The sequence below is a fragment of the Homo sapiens genome, chromosome 3, assembly GCF_000001405.40.
Source record: "Homo sapiens chromosome 3, GRCh38.p14 Primary Assembly".
Classification (NCBI taxonomy): domain Eukaryota; kingdom Metazoa; phylum Chordata; class Mammalia; order Primates; family Hominidae; genus Homo; species Homo sapiens.
The window spans coordinates 193,588,553-193,607,390 of NC_000003.12; the positions used below are offsets into that span (position 1 = coordinate 193,588,553).

At 41.2% G+C, this 18,838-nt stretch overlaps 2 protein-coding genes across 21 annotated transcripts in view, besides 6 other annotated features; one reads left to right on the plus strand and one right to left on the minus strand.

Annotated features, from left to right (window-relative positions):
• ATP13A4 (ATPase 13A4) overlaps positions 1 to 4,567 on the minus strand; it is a 194,153-nt gene extending 189,586 nt beyond the window's left edge. For all 3 annotated transcript variants that reach the window (XR_007095757.1, XM_047449063.1, XM_017007319.2), the window contains exon 1: positions 4,469 to 4,567. The gene's annotated coding sequence lies outside the window, so the exon portion shown is untranslated. The remainder of the gene's footprint in view (positions 1 to 4,468) is intronic.
• Positions 4,318 to 4,969: an enhancer, noted in NCBI's record as "H3K27ac hESC enhancer chr3:193310659-193311310 (GRCh37/hg19 assembly coordinates)". NCBI's record gives its function as "activates a minimal SCP1, AML or CMV promoter by ChIP-STARR-seq in primed H9 embryonic stem cells {active_cell/tissue: H9 hESC(primed)}" and the evidence as "EXISTENCE:reporter gene assay evidence [ECO:0000049][PMID:30033119]".
• Positions 4,365 to 4,434: an enhancer, noted in NCBI's record as "active region_21001". NCBI's record gives its function as "activates an Ori minimal core promoter by ATAC-STARR-seq in GM12878 lymphoblastoid cells {active_cell/tissue: GM12878}" and the evidence as "EXISTENCE:reporter gene assay evidence [ECO:0000049][PMID:35858748]".
• Positions 4,485 to 4,534: an enhancer, noted in NCBI's record as "active region_21002". NCBI's record gives its function as "activates an Ori minimal core promoter by ATAC-STARR-seq in GM12878 lymphoblastoid cells {active_cell/tissue: GM12878}" and the evidence as "EXISTENCE:reporter gene assay evidence [ECO:0000049][PMID:35858748]".
• Positions 4,656 to 18,838, plus strand: part of OPA1 (OPA1 mitochondrial dynamin like GTPase) — a 104,604-nt gene continuing 90,421 nt past the window's right edge. For 15 of the 18 annotated variants that reach the window (NM_130837.3, NM_130834.3, NM_130836.3 and 12 more), the window contains exon 1: positions 4,656 to 4,857. In NM_130837.3, coding sequence (NP_570850.2) covers positions 4,826 to 4,857 — 32 coding nt within the window. In that variant the 5' untranslated portion in view covers positions 4,656 to 4,825. Of the gene's footprint in view, positions 4,858 to 14,947; positions 15,006 to 18,838 lie in introns of all 18 variants that reach the window. The other 3 variants (NM_001354664.2, NM_001354663.2, XM_047448212.1) reach the window with 1 other exon arrangement.
• Positions 4,755 to 4,904: a silencer, noted in NCBI's record as "silent region_15009". NCBI's record gives its function as "represses an Ori minimal core promoter by ATAC-STARR-seq in GM12878 lymphoblastoid cells {active_cell/tissue: GM12878}" and the evidence as "EXISTENCE:reporter gene assay evidence [ECO:0000049][PMID:35858748]".
• Positions 4,970 to 5,621: an enhancer, noted in NCBI's record as "H3K27ac hESC enhancer chr3:193311311-193311962 (GRCh37/hg19 assembly coordinates)". NCBI's record gives its function as "activates a minimal SCP1, AML or CMV promoter by ChIP-STARR-seq in primed H9 embryonic stem cells {active_cell/tissue: H9 hESC(primed)}" and the evidence as "EXISTENCE:reporter gene assay evidence [ECO:0000049][PMID:30033119]".
• Positions 5,135 to 5,214: an enhancer, noted in NCBI's record as "active region_21003". NCBI's record gives its function as "activates an Ori minimal core promoter by ATAC-STARR-seq in GM12878 lymphoblastoid cells {active_cell/tissue: GM12878}" and the evidence as "EXISTENCE:reporter gene assay evidence [ECO:0000049][PMID:35858748]".

Sequence of the window (18,838 nt, forward strand, 5' to 3'; positions counted from 1 at the left end):
GCTTTGGTTAAGGGCCCTCACACTTGACTTTCTCAACAGCCCCCTATCCAGTCTTCCTGACCCTCAGTTTCCCTCTTTACAAATTCATCCTTTTCTGTTTCTCCAGGATTATCTTTTTTGAGCCCACTTTATGACACTATAGTCTGCCTCTGTGGGTAGTAACTGTTGCTACCCATTACTTGGTCCTCAGCTTGTACTACCTCACATTAATGTTTACCTTTTATGTATGTCTGTCTTCCTAACCAAACCATGGTTAGTTGAGGGTGGGAACTGTGGTTTACTCTTTTTAAAAAAATATATCCTCAGGCCTGGCACGGTGGCTGATGCCTGTAATCCTAGCACTTTGGAAGGTTGAGGCAGGCAGATTACTTGAGGTCAGGAGTTTGAAACCAGCCTGGCCAAAATGGTGAAACCCCGTCTCTACTAAAATACAAAAACTTAGCCAGGCATGGTGGCATGCACCTGTAATCCCAGCTACTCAGGAGACTGAGGCAGGAGAATCACTTAAACCTGGGAGGTGGAGGTTACAGTGAGCCGAGATTGTGCCACTGCGCTCCAGCCTGGGCGACAAAGTGAGACTCTGTCTCAAAACAAACAAACAAACAAACAAAAACCAAATATATATATATGTGTGTGTGTGTGTGTATATAATTTGTGTGTGTATATATATGTATTTATATCCTCGACTAGGGTTCATAGGAAGTGACTGTAAATGTTTGTTAATAAGGATTATAACATGCTTTTCTGAGGGCTGGGGAGAGTTTGATAATGATGATGGTGCAAACATGTATGACTTCAGCTAATTATTGGCTTCTCCAGGAAACCACAAAGAGTAGTGTTAAGGAACTTGGAGATCTCCCAAGAAGAACTTTGCAAAAGCTTTTATGTATAAATTTAAATATAAAACTTATGAAATCAATTTTAAACATTTCCATTTCCATTAACATCTCTCATTACCTTCCTTTCTGAAAATTTCTGATTCGTTGGATAATTCTGAAAAGGGTCCCTTTTCCTGCTAAGGTAAATATTTAGAGTTTTACCTGGTGAATTGCTCAATTCCCAGCTGAACTGGAAAATTTAGTTTAAAGTAGTAAAATTATTTCATGACTTCTGGATCAGAAAAATATTTTTAACATGTTTTTACAAGTAATTAATACACAAGTTCAGAGTATAAAAGGGTTTACAATAAATGTAAGCCTCCCTCCCACTCATGACCCACTAACTTCAAGTCCTTCCTTGACTCTGCCCTTCACTAGGGCTTATCAACTCAAATATTTTCGTGGGTTAGGCATGTAACATAAATGAGTAATGCAAGTATGTCTGTTGTATAATGTCATATTAAATTGTATTCATATAATTTATTCATATAATTTTACTTGCCTACTTGCATACTTGTGTTCTTTTGCCAAAAAAAAAAAAAAAAAAAGCTCTTTCTCATTGTTTTGGAAATGGCTGACCCTCTCAGTCCTTCATTTTCTCTCACTTTTCATATTGTAATCATCCAGCAGGTTCTTCCTGCTCACTGCACAGACAAAATCATTTCACTGAGACCAGGGCATCGCAGTAGAAAAAGAGTTTAACTGATTCAAGACCAGCCTATGCAGGAGAACTGGAGTTGTCACTCAAATCAATCTTCCTGAAGGCTCTGAGGTTAGAGGTTTTTATGGACAATTTAGTGGGCAAGGGGTAGGGAATGGATGCTGCTGATTGGTTGGGGATGAAATAATAGGAAAACATTCCTTGTGTGCTGAGTCCACCTCTGGGCGGGGCCACAGGATCACTTGAGTCATGAGTCATAAGTCTCGATGGGGTGAGTCTGAAATATACCGCAAAAAAGCAGTCTTAGATTCTATAGTAATGATGTTATCTATAGGAGCAATTGGGGAAGTCATAAGATTTGTGAGTTCTGGCCACATTGATTCCTGAGCAGTAAGGGACTATAGAAACCATACCTACGTCTTAGCACAGTTCAGGCCCCTCTCATGATCCTGTTCTCTTGGCCTTTCTTACAAAGGTGGTTTTTGGTTCCTGAGCAACGAGGGAGTTAGCTTTAGGAAGGGACTATTATAATCCTTTCTTTCAAGTTAAACTATAAACTACATTCCTCCCCAAAGTTCATTTGGCTTAAGTCCAGGAATGAGCAAGGACAGCTTGGAGGTCAGAAGCAAGATGGAGTCAACTATGTCAGGTTCCTCTTGTCATAATTTTGCCAAGGCAGTTTCAATATAAGTAGTGGTTGTTTTTCCTCTTAATTTTTACTAAGAAAAGTAGAAGCACAAGCTTCATGATAAACAGTAATTGATGTGTTCAATTTCAGAAAGATGAAGGAGTGTGAACTACCGGAGAGGACATGAGTGCCTGAAGGATAAAACTACTACTTGGCTCCTGGTTCCGAGACATTTTTTGTATATAAGAATTGAAGGTTGATGTTGTTAGGCATCCTGATATTTTTATGTGATTTTTTAAAATGTGAAATTTGTTGATTTTTATTTGGCAACAAATGTAGCATTTTTTTGCTTGTTTGTTTTTGAGACGGAGTCTCGATCTGTCGCTCAGGCTGGAGTGCAGTGGCACAATCTCAGCTCACTGCAACCTCTGCCTCCTGGGTTCAAGCAATTTTTCTGCCTCAGCCTCCGAGTAGCTGGCTAATTTTTTTATTTTTAGTAGAGACAGGGTTTCACCATATTGGCCAGGCTGGTCTCAAACTCCTGACCTCGTGATCTGCCTTCCTCGGCCTCCCAAAGTGCTGGGATTACAGGCATAAGCCGCCATGCCCAGCCCAAATGTAGTGTTATTTTTAAAACACTGCATAGGCCAACACTGTCTAAACCAAACAAAACAGGTCTGTGGGCTGAATTTGGTCCAATGGTTGCAGTTTATTATACAACAGTTTGCCCTTTTTTCATGGCAACACTATGTATCTATGGGAGATCATTCCTTATCAGGACATACAGACCTAAAGCATAGGTTTTCATGGCTAGTACGGATGTAATTTATGTGTCTAGTTCCTATACATGGACATTTATACTGATTCCAATCTTTTCCCATTTCATACAGTGCAGAAATAAACATCATCATGCATACATCTTTGCATACATGGGAATGATTCCACAGGATAAATGCCTAGAAGTAGAACTGCAAAACAAGGGCTTCATAAAACATATGATAACCATATATAAATGGTGATGGTGGTTAGTTTCTCCTTTTTTTATGGTTAAAGTCTTTTATCCCTAATTTTTCTTTTTTGTTGTTGTTGTTAAAGTCTCTTGGTTTCTCTTATTTTATTTTCTAAAATAACAAGGAAGTAACGATTACAAAGACACTTTTTGTACAACCCTACAATCCCAGGAAGATCTACAGTTTGCACAGGTTGGTACAGCAAATTGCTCTCTGGACCTGCCATTGAAACAGTCACCACAATAAATAAAGAAAATTCTAAGAGTCCTGCATTTGGGAAGTTTACTATCAATGGCTAGGTCTACTCTTGGTGGTATTGTGAGTGCATGGGTCCAGACTTATGATTCTGACAATTAAGGGAAAAGGAATTGTCTTTATGCTCTGTGTATTTGTGTATGTGTGTGGCATGGGTGGGGGGCGGGTAGTGGGGAGGAGGTGAAAGGTCCCTGAAGTAAAGAGGATGCACAGGACCCTTTTATTTTAGTCCCTAAAAATTGGCTTCATAACCGTTCACAGGCCACATCCCTTTTACGGGCCCTGGTTTCCTTACAAAACATAAAAGGTTTGTGTTGGAAGGGGAAAGGAGTATTTAAAGTGATGGAGGAGAGGAGCTCAAGATGGCTGAGATCTGGGCCTGTCCAACATTGAGAAATTTGGGAGGGGAGCCATCAAAGAAGCCTGGGAGCAGCAGTTCCAGGGAAAAAGGAGAATGTGATGGCCAGAGAGCCAAAAGAAAAAGTAGTTGAAGGAGTGCTCAGCACTAGGCATCTGAACTGAATGCTGTGGCAGGCTCACTGGCCACAAACAATAGGGAGCTGGTGGAGGCCTTGACGAGGACCATTTCAACAAACTGGTGGGCTTAAAATCCGGAAGAAACAGTTGAACAAATCATTTTGACGCCTTTTATAAACCACACAAGCTTATTCCAAACCCGTTACTGGCCTAACTGATTTAAGTCCCTTTCCCATCTGATCCTCAGAGATTCTAAGGGACTTAGCCTATCCATGACTCTTCGTCCTGCTTCTCACCTCCCATGATTGCCCTAACGATGTGAAAGTGCTTTCAAACAAAGATGCCCAAGAAAGAAGGTAGGCAAATGTGCAAGCATTAGTTTGTAGTACGCTATTACTGTATTTCACCTTGCACTCTCTAGTTTCCTTCGTGCTCCCTCAATATCCAACTCTTAATAAATTCATGGCTCCCGGTGAGCATTCATCAATTCTCATTCCACGCCTTTAGCCCTTCCCGTTCCCGCCCAACTCTCGCTCCCTCCCCTGGCCAAATCTCTAACCTGCAAGGCTAATTCCGAATTCCAAATCGGAAGCAAGAGGGCGGGGCCCCGTGAGAGGCGATGGATTGCTCCAGTCCGTTCCCGACGCACTGTGCGCATGCGCTGGTCCTCCGCGGACCGTTCGTGCTGCCCGCCTAGAAAGGGTGAAGTGGTTGTTTCCGTGACGGACTGAGTACGGGTGCCTGTCAGGCTCTTGCGGAAGTCCATGCGCCATTGGGAGGGCCTCGGCCGCGGCTCTGTGCCCTTGCTGCTGAGGGCCACTTCCTGGGTCATTCCTGGACCGGGAGCCGGGCTGGGGCTCACACGGGGGCTCCCGCGTGGCCGTCTCGGCGCCTGCGTGACCTCCCCGCCGGCGGGATGTGGCGACTACGTCGGGCCGCTGTGGCCTGGTAAGTGCAGGCTCTAATCTGGCCCCGTTAATTCTGGGGCCTCTTGAGAGTGGGGCTGTCTTATCTCTATCTCCAAAAATGTGCAGGTGACTCTCAGGCCAGGCCGACGGCAGTTGGAGAATTCCCAGATGTTCTTGAGGACCCAGAATGACAGGAGCCCTGGCTGGGCTTACGTTCGGAGCCGGCTTCAATACTGGCCCTTTTCTCTGGCCCTACCCAACCCGAAAATTCTGGACGCCTCTCAATCTTGGCCCGTCTCTATTGTCCTTTTGTCTCTGCCCTTTACACCCTTGTGTCTTCAGTGTTCTGTCTGTCTCTGGTTGCCTCTTTTGCCTTTTTTCTGTCCTCTCCCTGCCAGGTTTGGCTCTGTCCATGAGTCACCTCTCTCCACATTTCTCCTAACTCTCGGTGTCTTCTTTTTCTTCCATTTCCACGCCATGTGTACATTGCATCTTCAGGTACCTGGGCTCTTCTATCGGGGAAAGGGGCGTCCGTCTCTTTCCCTAGCCCGCTGATAGAAGTCAGAACTAGAGCAATGACGCACACGGTGTCAGAGACGGTGATTCGAGATGCCCTTTCAATAGCAGCTTTTTTCTGTGTTTCGGGAGGGAGACTTACTTTTTGATGCAAGGTCGTGAACGTGGCACCACCTTTCTAATCTCAATCATTGTTGCCCTGGGGTGGTTTAATTCTAAATAGAAAATCATAGAAATCTTTTCATTTCTGTGCGTTACTATATGCATTGTAATGAGATTAAATTGGATTTTATAGGAAATTTTGTTCTAGTATCATTAGATACCTTCAAGCTTAGCTCATTGTTGCAGGCATTTGATAGGAAGTAAGATGCATCAAGCAAAATTGGAAAAACGTGGTTTTCCTGAATTAACTTCTAAGCAGTTGTTTTGAATTTTTTCCAGACCTTTTTAAGTGGTATAGATAATTTATCGTGTTTATAAGGAATGGAATGCATTCGTTAGTTTGTTTTTGTTTTGTTTTGAGACGGAGTCTTGCTCTGTCGTCCAGGCTGGAGTGCAGTAGCGCTATCTCGGCTCACTGCAACCTCCGCCTCCCAGGTTCAAGCAATTCTCCTGTCTCCGCCTCCGGAGTAGCTGGAATTACAGGCACGCGCCAGCACGCCTAGCTAATTTTTGTATTTTTAGTAGAGAGGGGGTTTCACCATTTTGGCCAGGCTGGTCTCGAACTCCTGACCTCATGTGATCCACCCTCCTCGACTTCCCAAAGTGCTGGGATTACAACCGTGAGCCACCGCGCCCGGCCCAATTTGTTTTATATAGGTTAACTGGAGTCCAAAATACAGAACTAGATGAGATAACAATAGTTAACAGTGTTAGTCAGTTAGAATTATTGCATAGGTATTTTTAATCTCATGGAATTTTAGTCTTTGAGTAAGTTCACAGCCCTTGGTATTAAAGTAAGTTATTTACAACCCTTGCATTTCTACTTCTCAATATTTAGTGAGGAAACATATCTGATTTTCTTTAAATAAAAAGAGAAAAGACTGCAGAAGATAGCATTCTCTGTTGGAGCAATTAAGATGTATAAGAAGAACTACAAAGACGGAGTTTTAAAACAAACTGATTTATAAGTGGTATTTATTTAATTGGCTGTCATTGGGCTAAATTATTTCTAAAGTTACCATGGATGCCATTGAGTCATGGCTTAAAAATGTCTCCTGGTGATGGCACAGTTTAGCTACCTAAAGAAGTAGAGATGTGGGAAGCCAGAAGCCCCAAGCTCTGCAGTTTTTCTTTTGCTATAGTTCCTTTGCATGTTGTGAAAGAATACAGTTAAATTCCTGCTCCCTAACAGATGAGAGCATAAGCATTTCTTTGGGCATACATATGTAAATACATGCTCATGGACATGTGAAAAGATCAATACTAACATTTGGGTGCAATAAATAATTGTGTAAAATTATTTTTAAAAGAATTACATATTAGGAAATGATATATTGATTAAAAGTGATAGTCAATGAACAAGAGAGTAGATTTCTGGGGGAAACCTATTTTGCATCATACTTGATTTTTAGTTTTGACTGAATATTGAAGTCTATATTCAAAATTCTTTTCCTTTAGAACTGTAAAGGCATTGCTGCATTTTCTTCTAATGTAATTGTTTATTGCTGCTGAGAATTCTTATGACAATCTGATTTTTTCATCTTCATGATTATCTTGTTTTTCCCTTCATGGAATCTGTTAGGGTCTTGACTTTATCCTTTATCCTAAATTTCTCAAGGCTTGGACCAGGTGTGGGTTTGGTTTTGTTTTCTTTTGCTACTCATTTGACTTGGCACACTCAGTGGGCCTTTCCCTTTATCTTTCTTCATTTCTGAGACGTTTTTCTCTCTTATTTTTTATTATCTTCCTTTCATTTTTCCTGTCCTTTTTCTTTCTAGACATCTCTTAGGAGGATAGTGGTCCTCTTAGATTGATATGTTATGTCCGTGATTTCCAAAGTAAGATTTGTACTCGTCGTCTGTTAAAAGGAAAAGCATACATATACCCTATGTATATATGCACACTTTTTTATTTTTAAATTATATATGTATCTGTACTAATTATTTACATTGTAAGTCAACCCTAACATAATCTTAAAGGATAAGATACAAAACATACTGCATCTAGAAGCTTCAGTACTTTCTTCCTGAATCCCAGTAGATCCTTTTGTTCATCCCACGGGATGCATTCCGCCCCCATCCTCCCACTCCCTTTGGATACCACATTACCACAGCTCTGCATCACTTAACTTTCCTCTTATGTTTTTCACCTTTTTTTTTTTTTTTTTTTTGCATTTTATGTCCTGGGGAATTTCCTTAATTCATTTCATGGTTTTACTGTTGATTTTTTTAATATTGGCCATCGCAACTTTTCTTTTCTTTTCCTTTCCTTTCCTTTCCTTTCCTTTCCTTTTCTTTTCTTTTCTTTTCTTTTCTTAATTTTCTTTTCTTTTCTTTTCTTTTCTGTTCTTTTCTTTTCTTTTCTTTTCTTTTCTTTCACACAGGATCTTGGCGTGTTGTCCAGGCTGGCCTCGAACTCCTGGGCTCAGGTAATCCTCTCACCTTGGCCTCCCAAAATGCCAGGATTACAGGCGTGCGCCACTGCATTTGGCGGCAACTTAATTTTTTTATTTTTATTTTTCCTTTTAGAGGACACCTAGCACTGAGCATTGCAACTTTTCATTTCCATGAACTTTTAAGAAAACTCTTAAAGACATGTTTAATTCTGTACACTTTCTATTGTTCTTTGATTGCTGTTTTTGAATAACAACAAGGAGTACGCCTTAGCATTTTGATGGTATCCTCTTAATAGTCGCAATAATAGTCCCCTTGGCGCTCTGTATACTCTCAAGTCTTAAATGTTTTGTATGCAGCTGTACGTTGACAGTTGAATGGTCTCGCTCCAAGTGGATCAGCAAGAACATAAAGAATCATTTAACTGGTACAGGCTGCGGCTTGTGAATTCCCTATTAACACCAAAGAAGACGTGTGAGACTCCGTACTGAAACTAAAGACGACTTGTGAGTTCCACACTGAGATCAAATAAGTCTTTATGATGGTGACAGAGAGTGGTGTCAACGCCTAAAGTTTTGGTTAATCTCTCTAAATTGAGGGGCTGACCAAAAGGGGGAACTTAACTGTATTAGACATAATTTTGAGAAACATGGGTATGTGGATGGTAATGGAGGAAATGGGTGTAGATGAGATTGCCTAGGGAGAGTGAGAAGTAGGTTAGGTCTAAGCCTTGATGAGTTCCCAACATTTCCAAGGGTAGTTGAGGATACTGAAAATGAGTGGCCAGTGAGATAGAGGTAAAGCTAGAGACTGCCCAGGGGAGAGGAATTTTCAACAATGAGGAGGTGTCAACATTGTCAGGTATTGCTGAGAGGTCAGATAAAACCAGAATTGAGCAAAATGGCCATTGGAAGCCTATGGTGCCCTCCGTAAGAGCTGTTTCGCTGAAGTGATAGAAACGGAAATCAGGCTGGGCACAGTGGCTCACTCCTGTAATCCCAGCACTTTGGGAGGCCGAGGTGGGCGGATCACCTGAGGTTAGGAGTTCGAGACCAGCCTGGCCAACATGGTGAAACCCTGTCTCTACTAAAAATACAAAAAGTAGCCAGGTGTGGTGGCAGGTCCCTGTAATCCCAGCTACTCAGGAGGCTGAGGCAGGAGAATCGCTTGAGCCCCAGAGGCGGAGGTTGCAGTGAGCAGAGATCGAGCCACTGCACTCCAACCTGGGTGACAGAGCAAGACTCCGTTTCAAAAAAAAAAAAAAAAAAAGAAATGGAAATCAGGATGGTTTGGCTTTTATTTTAATAAAATAGCTAGAGCAGGGAAATGGGGTACTTTTTTTCCCCCTTTTAAGATGAGACATAGCCAGGTGCAGTGGCTTACACCTGTAATCCCAACACTTTGAAAGGGAGGGTCGCTTGAGCTCAGGAGTTTGAGACCAGCCTAGGCAACATAGCAAGACCTTGTCTCTACTAAAATTCAAAAAAAATTAACTGGGCATGCTGGCACACACCTCTAGTCCCAGCTATTTATGAAGCTGAGGCAGGAGGATCACACTTGAGCCCAGATACGTGGGGCTGCAGTGAGCCCTGATAATGCCATTGCACTCCACGTTGGGCAACAGAGCAAGACTTCGTCTCAAAAATAAATAAATACCCTGTCTCAAAAATAAAAAATAAATATGGGAGGAGAGATTTGACTTAGATTCCTCAAAGGGCAGGAGGAAAGAGAATTCCAAACAGTGATTCACCTTTAATGGGAGAAAGATCGCTTAATTTTACATGAGGAAGAAGAGGATTGGTGGAGATACAGTAGGTGAACAGTTTTTGTATGAGGAAGTTGAACATGTGTCATTCTAATAGCTTCCATTCTCTGTGAAGTAGAGGGCAAGGTCATCTACTGAGAGTTGGGGAGGTCAAGAGAGATAAGGGGAGATTAGAAGAGCTCTTCTAGCAGAGAGTGGAAGAATGAATTGCTAAGAGAGATGAAGTAGGATTGTTAAGTAGTTTTGAGGGCCCTGTTGAGATGTGCTTCCAGTTGGGTGTGATTTTCTCCAGTAGTGCTTTATTTCCCTGGGTACAGGCAGAGAGAAAAACAATAAGGCTCATGTAGGGTTTGTATTTTGTTGGACAAGTCAAACAGAAAAGTCAGAGGACGAGGGAGTTTAGAATGTTTGCAAAAGAGTTATTGAAACGATGAACCGCATAATCTAAGGTGGTAAGTGGGTGAATAGATAAGGAGGATGTGAATAGGTAAGGAGAAGAAAGAAATATCAGATTATTGATTATTGATGGCGACTCTCTAATACAGCTATTATGCCATTTTAACCGATTAAGAAACTAAGGCTTTAGAAAATTCATAATTTGCCCTAACTGCACAGCTAGTAAGCAGTGGAAATGTGATTGGAACCAGAGTTCTTCTGACTCAATAGACTAAATGGATGTAAGGATGTAGTTGAAAGAAGGGTGAGCTAAACGTTGTGGAACCATGAGCTCTTTCTCTGGTTGATATCCCTCTCTGTAAGTGATAACATGGGTCACGCTGGATAAAACCTTGTGGTGATTGGTGACTTTCCTTTGTCCTTCCTCCTGTGCCTAGTCTGGCGAGTATCTGCCTTTCCCTTTCCTTTCTCATTGCTGCCACCTAACTTTAGGCTCTTCCCCTTACATCTGGGTAACTGAAATAAGATCACCTTTTTGTTCCCCTTCTGATTTACTTTGACCTAACATTATCTTTACTATTTTCTTTAAATTAATGTTTCATTAGTCTTATTCTACTCAGGAACTCTGTAGTTCCCCATTGCCTACGAAAAAAAGTTAAGCCTCAGCCTTATATTCAGTGACTCTTCAATTGGATATTCAGTCCAGTTTTACTCCTCCTATGAGCCTTCTATGCCAGCTCCTTGGGTCTCTTGCCCTTTCATTGTCTCAGCTCTGCACCCTTCTTTCTCTTTTTTATTCTTTTTTTTTTTTGTACTTTTTTGGTTTTCTTTTTGGTTTCTTTTTTTGTTTTATTTATTAAACCTCCATCACACTTCATCCTATGGAGTTTTGAACCACAGCAAGGTGCAGTATCATCCTGGGGCTCTGGAGGAAGTGGCAGGGAGTCCAAAATGTCACCTTAGCTTCTTATCTGGGGCCACATGTATTTCTGCATCTGCTGCTTCCCACACTCTTGCCCACAAGTGTCGCTTGTGGAAATAATTTGAGATTTACTGTCTGGCTGACCCTAGTTTCAATCTCTTTTCCACCATTTGCTAATCATTCTACCTTGGGCAAAACATAGAATTAAAAGAAAACTTCAGACAAGTTAAATTTGATGGAGTTTAATTGAGCAAAGAAAAAAAATGATCCACAAATTGGGCAGTCTCCAGAATCACCGCAGATTCAGAGAGACTCCAGGGGTGCCTCGTGGTCAGAACAAATTTATAGACAGAAAAGGTAAAGTGACCTACAGGAATCAGAATTGAGACATAGAAACAGTGAGATTGGTTACAGCTCGGCGTTTGCCTTATTTGAACGCAGTTTGAACACTCAGCAGTCTATGAGTGGTTGAAGTATGGCCGCTGGGATTGGCCAACACTCAGCTGTTATTACAGATGCATACTACTAAGTTAGGTTTTCGATTTTGTCTGCCTATTTGAGCTAGGTTACAGTTCGTCCACAAGGACTCAAATATAAAAGTACGGAGTCCTCTTCGGGCCATATTTAGTTCGCTTTAACAATTCCCCCTTTTGGTCAGCCCCTCAATTTAGAGAGATTGACCAAAACTTTAGGCGTTGACACCACTCTCTGTCACCATCATAAAGACTTATTTGGTCTCAGTGTGGAACTCACAAGTCGTCTTTAGTTTCAGTATGGAGTCTCACACATCTTCTTTGGTGTTAATAGGGAATTCACAAGTTGCAACTTTGTACCAGCTAAATGATTCTTTATGTTCTTGCTGATCCAGTTGGAGTAAGACCATTCAACTGTCAATGTACAGCTGCATACAAAACATTTAAGACTTGAGAGTATACAGTGCACCAAGGGGACTATTATTATGACTGTTAAGAGGACACCGTCAAAATGCTAAGGTGTACTCCTTAATAAAAGTTCTTATGAAATGAACTGAACCAAATCAGCCAAGTTAAGGTTCAGACAATATAAGCAGTTCAGCAGTATTGGGGTCTGATTGGTCAGAGTCTTCAGTTGGAGTATGATAGTGATTAAGGATCATAGTTCGCTGTAAAGTAGCTTGACTTAAAGAGGTGCTCGTTTTCATTGTTACCTTGTTAATACAAGTCATAATAACTTGAAAACCTGCTAGAAGAGATATAAAGATTAGAAACCCTTGGAAAACCCAAGCTTGCCATTCACCACTTAGGATGCCTGCAAACCAACTGTTAGTTGCTCCTATAAACATATCGTGGGTTCCTTTCTCTTGAGAGATTTCTTTATTGTACTTGGTGGCAGTGTCTAAGGAAACAGCAGTATCAGCCACCTTTTAAATTAAGCTTTTTGTAGTAACAGAATCAGGGGAGGGATTAGTACAAAATTCAGTTTTGTTTAACACCAAACATAGGCCTCCAGCTTGAGCAAAAAGAAGATCTAAGACTGCATGATCTTCCATTAAGTGTTTTCGTTGAATATGTATGTTGTCATGTGCCTTTCTGAGAGTAGCTTCTACCCATCTGAAACCCTGGGAGGTCTGATTGGCTACCAAATCCAAGAATTTTCCCAATATACAAATTAGTTTTAAATTCCGTACAAATGGTACTTCACTACCACCAAGAGTGAGCCCCCAGGAACCCCAGTGGAATCTTTCCCCGGTAGAAACTAGCTTATCCTCGTCTATTTCGAGGCTAGTGCTAATTTCAGTTATTGATCATTTTGGCCTCCAAGTATAAGGGCTATCATGAGAATTTTCAGGGGAAGCAATTCGAAAGGCAGGAGCAGGCCAGGCCAGATAACAAGAACCAAACCAACCAAGGAGGCAGAACAGAATATGCAGATTCTCCACAGACCCAATAGAGACCCTCAGGGGTTGGAAAAGGGGGCCACCTAGTTGTATTTGAGCAGGGATCATTCAGGTTTGTTCGACCATGAATCTGTAGCTCCTGAATAACATCCAGTGGGAAATTTACTTTTCTATGGCCCCTTTGTAGTGTGTTGTAAGGGTGTATAACCACATCTAGTAAAAAGAGACCCTACTGGATATACAAGCAATCACTTGTACTAACATAAGTAATTCCCAAATCTTGAGTATGTGATGCCTGCAAGCACAATATACGTTTTGTAGGCATCATTTGGATTTGTTTTTTATATTTGGTGTGATCGACTTTATCAGTTGAAAAAGAGTGTTGTTTTTAGTGAGTGTAGGAAAGCAAGTACTAGTGATGTTTAGAGTATCAAGAATAGCTTTCCATTCTTCCCTTGGGGTTTCAGGGTGACTCATTGGGAAACGTGGAGGGGCACTGGCACCCTTGGAATCATTTCCTGATTTTTTGGCATTAGCCCACAAACCCAACAGTTACCCTGGTTTTGTGCTAGAGCATAAGCTTGAGCTGAAGCCATCCACTGATTATGGTCCCATGGATTTTCATGTAAGGAAAAGGAAAGGATTAGGGAAAAAAATAAGGAAAACAGAAAAACACATAAGGCTTTCATGGTGGTAGAGAAGTCTTGATCTGTGATCTAGGGAAAGCTGTCTGTAACCAGGATGCTGTCTGCTTCTGGGAAGAGATTTCCCTGGTCAGCTTTACCTTAAAGTCTCCAACGGGTATATAGTACCAGGAGTCTGAGGGGGCCCTTTTGAATTGTGAGATGTGGACCCATGGTTCAAAGCCCTGAAGCTTCTCTGCACTGTGGGTGGTAAGAAGGACTTGGTATGGTCCCATCCAACGAGGTTCAAGAGTGATCTTCTTCTGATGTCATTTCCGGAAGGCCCAGTCTCCAAATTCCAGACCATGGAGGGTTTGATTGTCCTCAGTTGGTGGATCTTGAAATGCTTCCTTTACCTGGTGGAAGTATACTTTGGCGTAATACATTAAAGCCTTGCAGTATTTAGTCATATCAGAGTTTAAGAGAGCAGGAGAAGCATGAGATGCTATTATTAGGGACATGGGCCTCCCAGTGACTATTTCATAAGGGGTCAATTTATGTTTTCCAACAGGATTGAATCTGATTGCCATTAAAACCAAAAGGTAGTACCTTTGGCCAAGGCAACTCAATTGATTCAGTTAACTTGGACAGTTTCAGTTTTCAAATGCCATTTGTTCTTTCAAGCTTTCCTGAAGACTGAGGGTAATAAGGACAATGGTAATGCAACTGTGTCAGTAACACCTTATTTAACTGCTTTATAACTTGCTCAGTAAAATGAGTTCCTCTATCACTGGAGACTTTTAGAGGGATCCCCCATAAAGGAAAAACATTTTCTAATAATTTCTTAGCTATGGTCACAGCATCAGCTTTCCTACATGGGAAGGCCTTTATCCAACCAGAAAACATGCAAACTATTACAAGAACATACTGATACCCCATTGAGGGTGGTAACTGAATGAAGTCCATCTGTAAATGTTCAAATGGTCCATCAGGTGGTGGAAATATACTGCCTCTAGTTTTTCTGGGATTATGAGTTTGACAAGTCAAACATTGATTATAAGCCATTTTAGTAATGTCAGAATAGTCACCCCACCAGTATTTTTTCATAATTTGGATCACTTTGTCTGTTCCATGATGAGCTGTGGAGAGCTTTCAATAATGGAAGCTTCAAAGATTCAGGAAGGACCAGGCGGCCGTCCGGGCCCTTTGTGAGTCTTTGCTTCACGTTAAATTTACATCCTTTTAGATACCAGTTTTGTTTTTGCAAATCAGATGCGTTGCACTGTTTATTAAATAGGTCATCGTAAGGAAATTGGCTTGGATTAATCTTATGGAGTTCATTCAGATTGCGTATCTTGATGGTTCCAGCACTAGCTGATTGAGCATAAAAATCTGCTAAAGCATTTCACTGATATTTGGGTTCATTTCTACAAGTATGAGCTTCAGTCTTAATAACAGCAATCTGCATTTGTAACAGGATAGCAGAAAGGAGCTCATCTGTTTGGAGTCCATTTTTGATGGGGATCCCACTAGAGGTGAGAAACCTTCGTAGTTTCCATATCATGCCAAAATCACGTACTACTCCAAAAGCATGTCTACTATCCGTAAATATTTACTGACTTGTCCTTAGCTGTGTGACATGTTCAGGTAAGGGCAGAAAGTTCTGCAGGTTGGGCTGACTTGACTTGAAGAGTTCGCTTCTCTATTAACTCATTTTGGGTGGTAACAGCATATCCTGACTGATATTTTTTTTTCTGAGTTTTTGGCATAGGACCCATCAACAAAAAGTGTTAATTCAGGATTATCCAGTGGAGTATCTTGTATAGCAACACGAGGGGCCACTATTTCTGATACTACACTCACACCGTTGTGGTCTTCACCATCATCAGGCAGAGATAACAGAGTAGCAGCATTAAGTAGATTACAGCCTTTTAGATGAAGATAAGAAGGAGATAGGAGAAGTAATTCATAAGATGTTAGTCTACTCACTGAAAAATGCTGGGTTTGATTGGAATTTAATAGACTTTCCACAGCGTGTGGGACTTGCAAATTAAGTTCATTTCCTAAAACCAGATCTGATGAAGCTTCTACCAGCTTGGCTGCTGCTACTGCTTTTAAACAATTAGGATATGCCTTAGAGACTGGGCCTAATTGCAGGCTATAGTATGCAGTGGTCCTATGTTTAGCACCGTGTTCCTGATTATTACATTCATGAACAAACAAAGTGAAAGGTTTAGTGTAATTTGGAAGTCCTAAAGCTGGGGGCTGTTGTAAGGCCAACTTCATTTGGCTAAAAGCCTGCTCATGACTGTCTTCCCAAGGTAAAGGCTCTGGTACAGCATTTTTAGTGAGCTCATACAGTGGTGAAGCTATTAAGGAAAAATTTGGAACCCAGGATCTGCAATATCCTGCAAGCCTAAGAAAGCCTTTTGTCTTTTGGTTGCAGGTCGAGGAAAACTTTAAATAGGTTTTATCCTCTCAGGTAAGAGGGAAATCCCTTCAGCAGCCAAGTCATGTCCCAAATAGTGGACTTTTTCTTTTGAAAATTGAAGTTTTGGCCAGGCATGGTGGCTAACGCCTGTAATCCCAGCACTTTGGGAGGCTGAGGCAGGCGGATCACCTGAGGTCGGGAGTTCAAGGACAGCCTGACCAACATGGAGAAACCCTGTCTCTACTAAAAATACAAAATTAGCCAGGCGTGGTGGTGCATGCCTGTAATCCCAGCTACTCGGGAGGCTGAGGCAGGAGAATCGCTTGAACCCAGGAGGCAGAGGTTGTGGTGAGCCAGTATCACACCATTGCACTCCAGCCTGGGCAACAAGAGTGAAACTCCATCTCAAAAAAAAAAAAAAAGAAAAAAGAAAAGAAAAAATTGAAGTTTTTCCATTGAAGCCCTGTGACCTTTATATGCAAGTTGCTGTAAAAGGTAAACTGAGTCAATTTCCGGGCACTCCTTAATAGGAGAGCATAACAATAAGTTATCTACATACTGAATGAGAGTAGAATTTTGAGGAAACTGTAGTGTCATTAACTCCTGATGCAGTGCCTGGGGAAAATATGAAGGGGCTTCAGTAAACCCTTGTGGCATTACACTCCAGGTGTATTGCTGATTTTTCCAAGTAAAGGCAAACAAGTATTGACTTTCTTTATGGAATGCTAGAGAAGGCTGAGCCAAGATCTATTACTGTGGACAACTTGGAATCAGTGGGTACATTAGGTTATAAAGTATTAGGATTTGGGACTACAGGAAATCTTGGTATTACAATTTTATTAATTGCCTGTAAATCTGGAACAAATCTCCAGTCTCATCCATTTTGTTTTTTAACTGGTAGGATTGGAGTGTTACAGGGGCTGGTGCATGGAATTATGAGTCCTTGTTTAATTAAATCTTCTACAATTGGTGAGAGCCCTTAAATTGCTTCAGGTTTTAGTGGATATTGTGGTAATTAGGCAAAGGTTTAGAATGATCTGTTAGTACTTTTATAGGTTCTACACTTTTAATTCTTCCTATATCAGTTGGGAAGAGGCCCATAAACATTAGGTGTTTTCGAAAGATCAGGGGTATTACAGGCTTGAGTTTCGATCTTATCAATTTCTGCCTGTAGACAGCATAACAATTCTAGTTCAGGAGAATCAGGAAAACTCTTAAGATTATTTCTGTTTCTGAGGAAAATTTTAGGTGCCCTTTTAGCTTTGAAAGTAAATCTTGCCCTACCAAGTTTACTGGAACAGTATCACGTAGTAAAAAACTGTGTTTTTCTGAAAGGGGGCTCAGAGTTAATTGGATGGGTTCAGATATGGGAACCTCTGGAACTTGATTTGAAACCCCTGTCACAGAAATGACCTTTTTACTCTAAGGGATTTGTTGGCTTATTAAGGTGGGGTTTATGGTAGATAGAGTAGCCCTGGTATCCATAAGGACTATACACAACTCCCTATTTATTTTAACCTCTGTTTCCCCATGTTCCTTTAAAGGTATTACGGGGAGCAATCCACTGGAGAATCCCTTAGAGCCTCCTTTAAGTTGAATATTGTCAGGAGGACTAAGGTCTCTTGGGCTCCCTCTAGTGGTGAAACAGTTTGGCCTAGAGGGAGGTTTATCAGCCGACAATCCCTTTTCCAGTGCCCTGGTTGTTTGCAATACAGGCAGACATCTTGGGGTAAAGAAATTCTTGTTCTGGGACCTCTTGATTTGATTTTTTTAATATATAATTTTAAAAATATTTTCCAAAGTGTGACTTAAAAAAATTTTTTTTTATTATACTTTAAGTTTTAGGGTACATGTGCACAACGTGCAGGTTTGTTACATATGTATACATGTGCCATGTTGGTGTGCTGCACCCATTAACTCATCATTTACATTAGGTATATCTCCTAATGCTATCCCTCCCCCCTCCCCCAACCCCACAACAGGCCCCAGTGTGTGATGTTCCCCTTCCTGTGTCCAAGTGTTCTCACTGTTCAGTTCCCACCTACGAGTGAGAACATGCGGTGTTTGGTTTTTTGTCCTTGTGATAGTTTGCTGAGAATGATGGTTTCCAGCTTCATCCATGTCCCTACAAAGGACATTAACTCATCATTTTTTATGGCTCCATAGTATTCCATGGTGTATATATGCCACATTTTCTTAATCCAGTCTATCATTGTTGGACATTTGTGTTGGTTCCAAGTCTTTGCTATTGTGAATAGTGCTGCAATAAACATACGTGTGCATGTGTCTTTATAGCAGCATGATTTATAATCCTTTGGGTATATACCCAGTAATGGGATGGCTGGGTCAAACGGTATTTCTAGTTCTAGATCCCTGAGGAATTGCCACACTGACTTCCACAATGGTTGAACTAGTTTACAGTCCCACCAACAGTGTAAAAGTGTTCCTATTTCTCCACATCCTCTCCAGCACCTGTTGTTTCCTGACTTTTTAATGATTGCCATTCTAACTGGTGTGAGTTGGTATCTCATTGTGGTTTTGATTTGCATTTCTCTGATGGCCAGTGATGATGAGCATTTTTTCATGTGTCTTTTGGCTGCATAAATGTCTTCTTTTGAGAAGTGTCTGTTCATATCCTTCACCCACTTGTTGATGGGGTTGTTTGTTTTTCTCTTGTAAGTTTGTTTGAGTTCTTTGTAGATTCTGGATATTAGCCCTTTGTCAGATGAGAAGTTTCAGAAATTTTCTCCCATTCTGTAGGTTGCCTGTTCACTCTGATGGTAGTTTCTTTTGCTGTGCAGAAGCTCTTTACTTTAATGAGATCCCATTTGTCAATTTTGGCTTTTGTTGCCATTGCTTTTGGTGTTTTAGACATGAAGTCCTTGGCCATGCCTATGTCCTGAATGGTATTGCCTAGGTTTTCTTCTAGGATTTTTA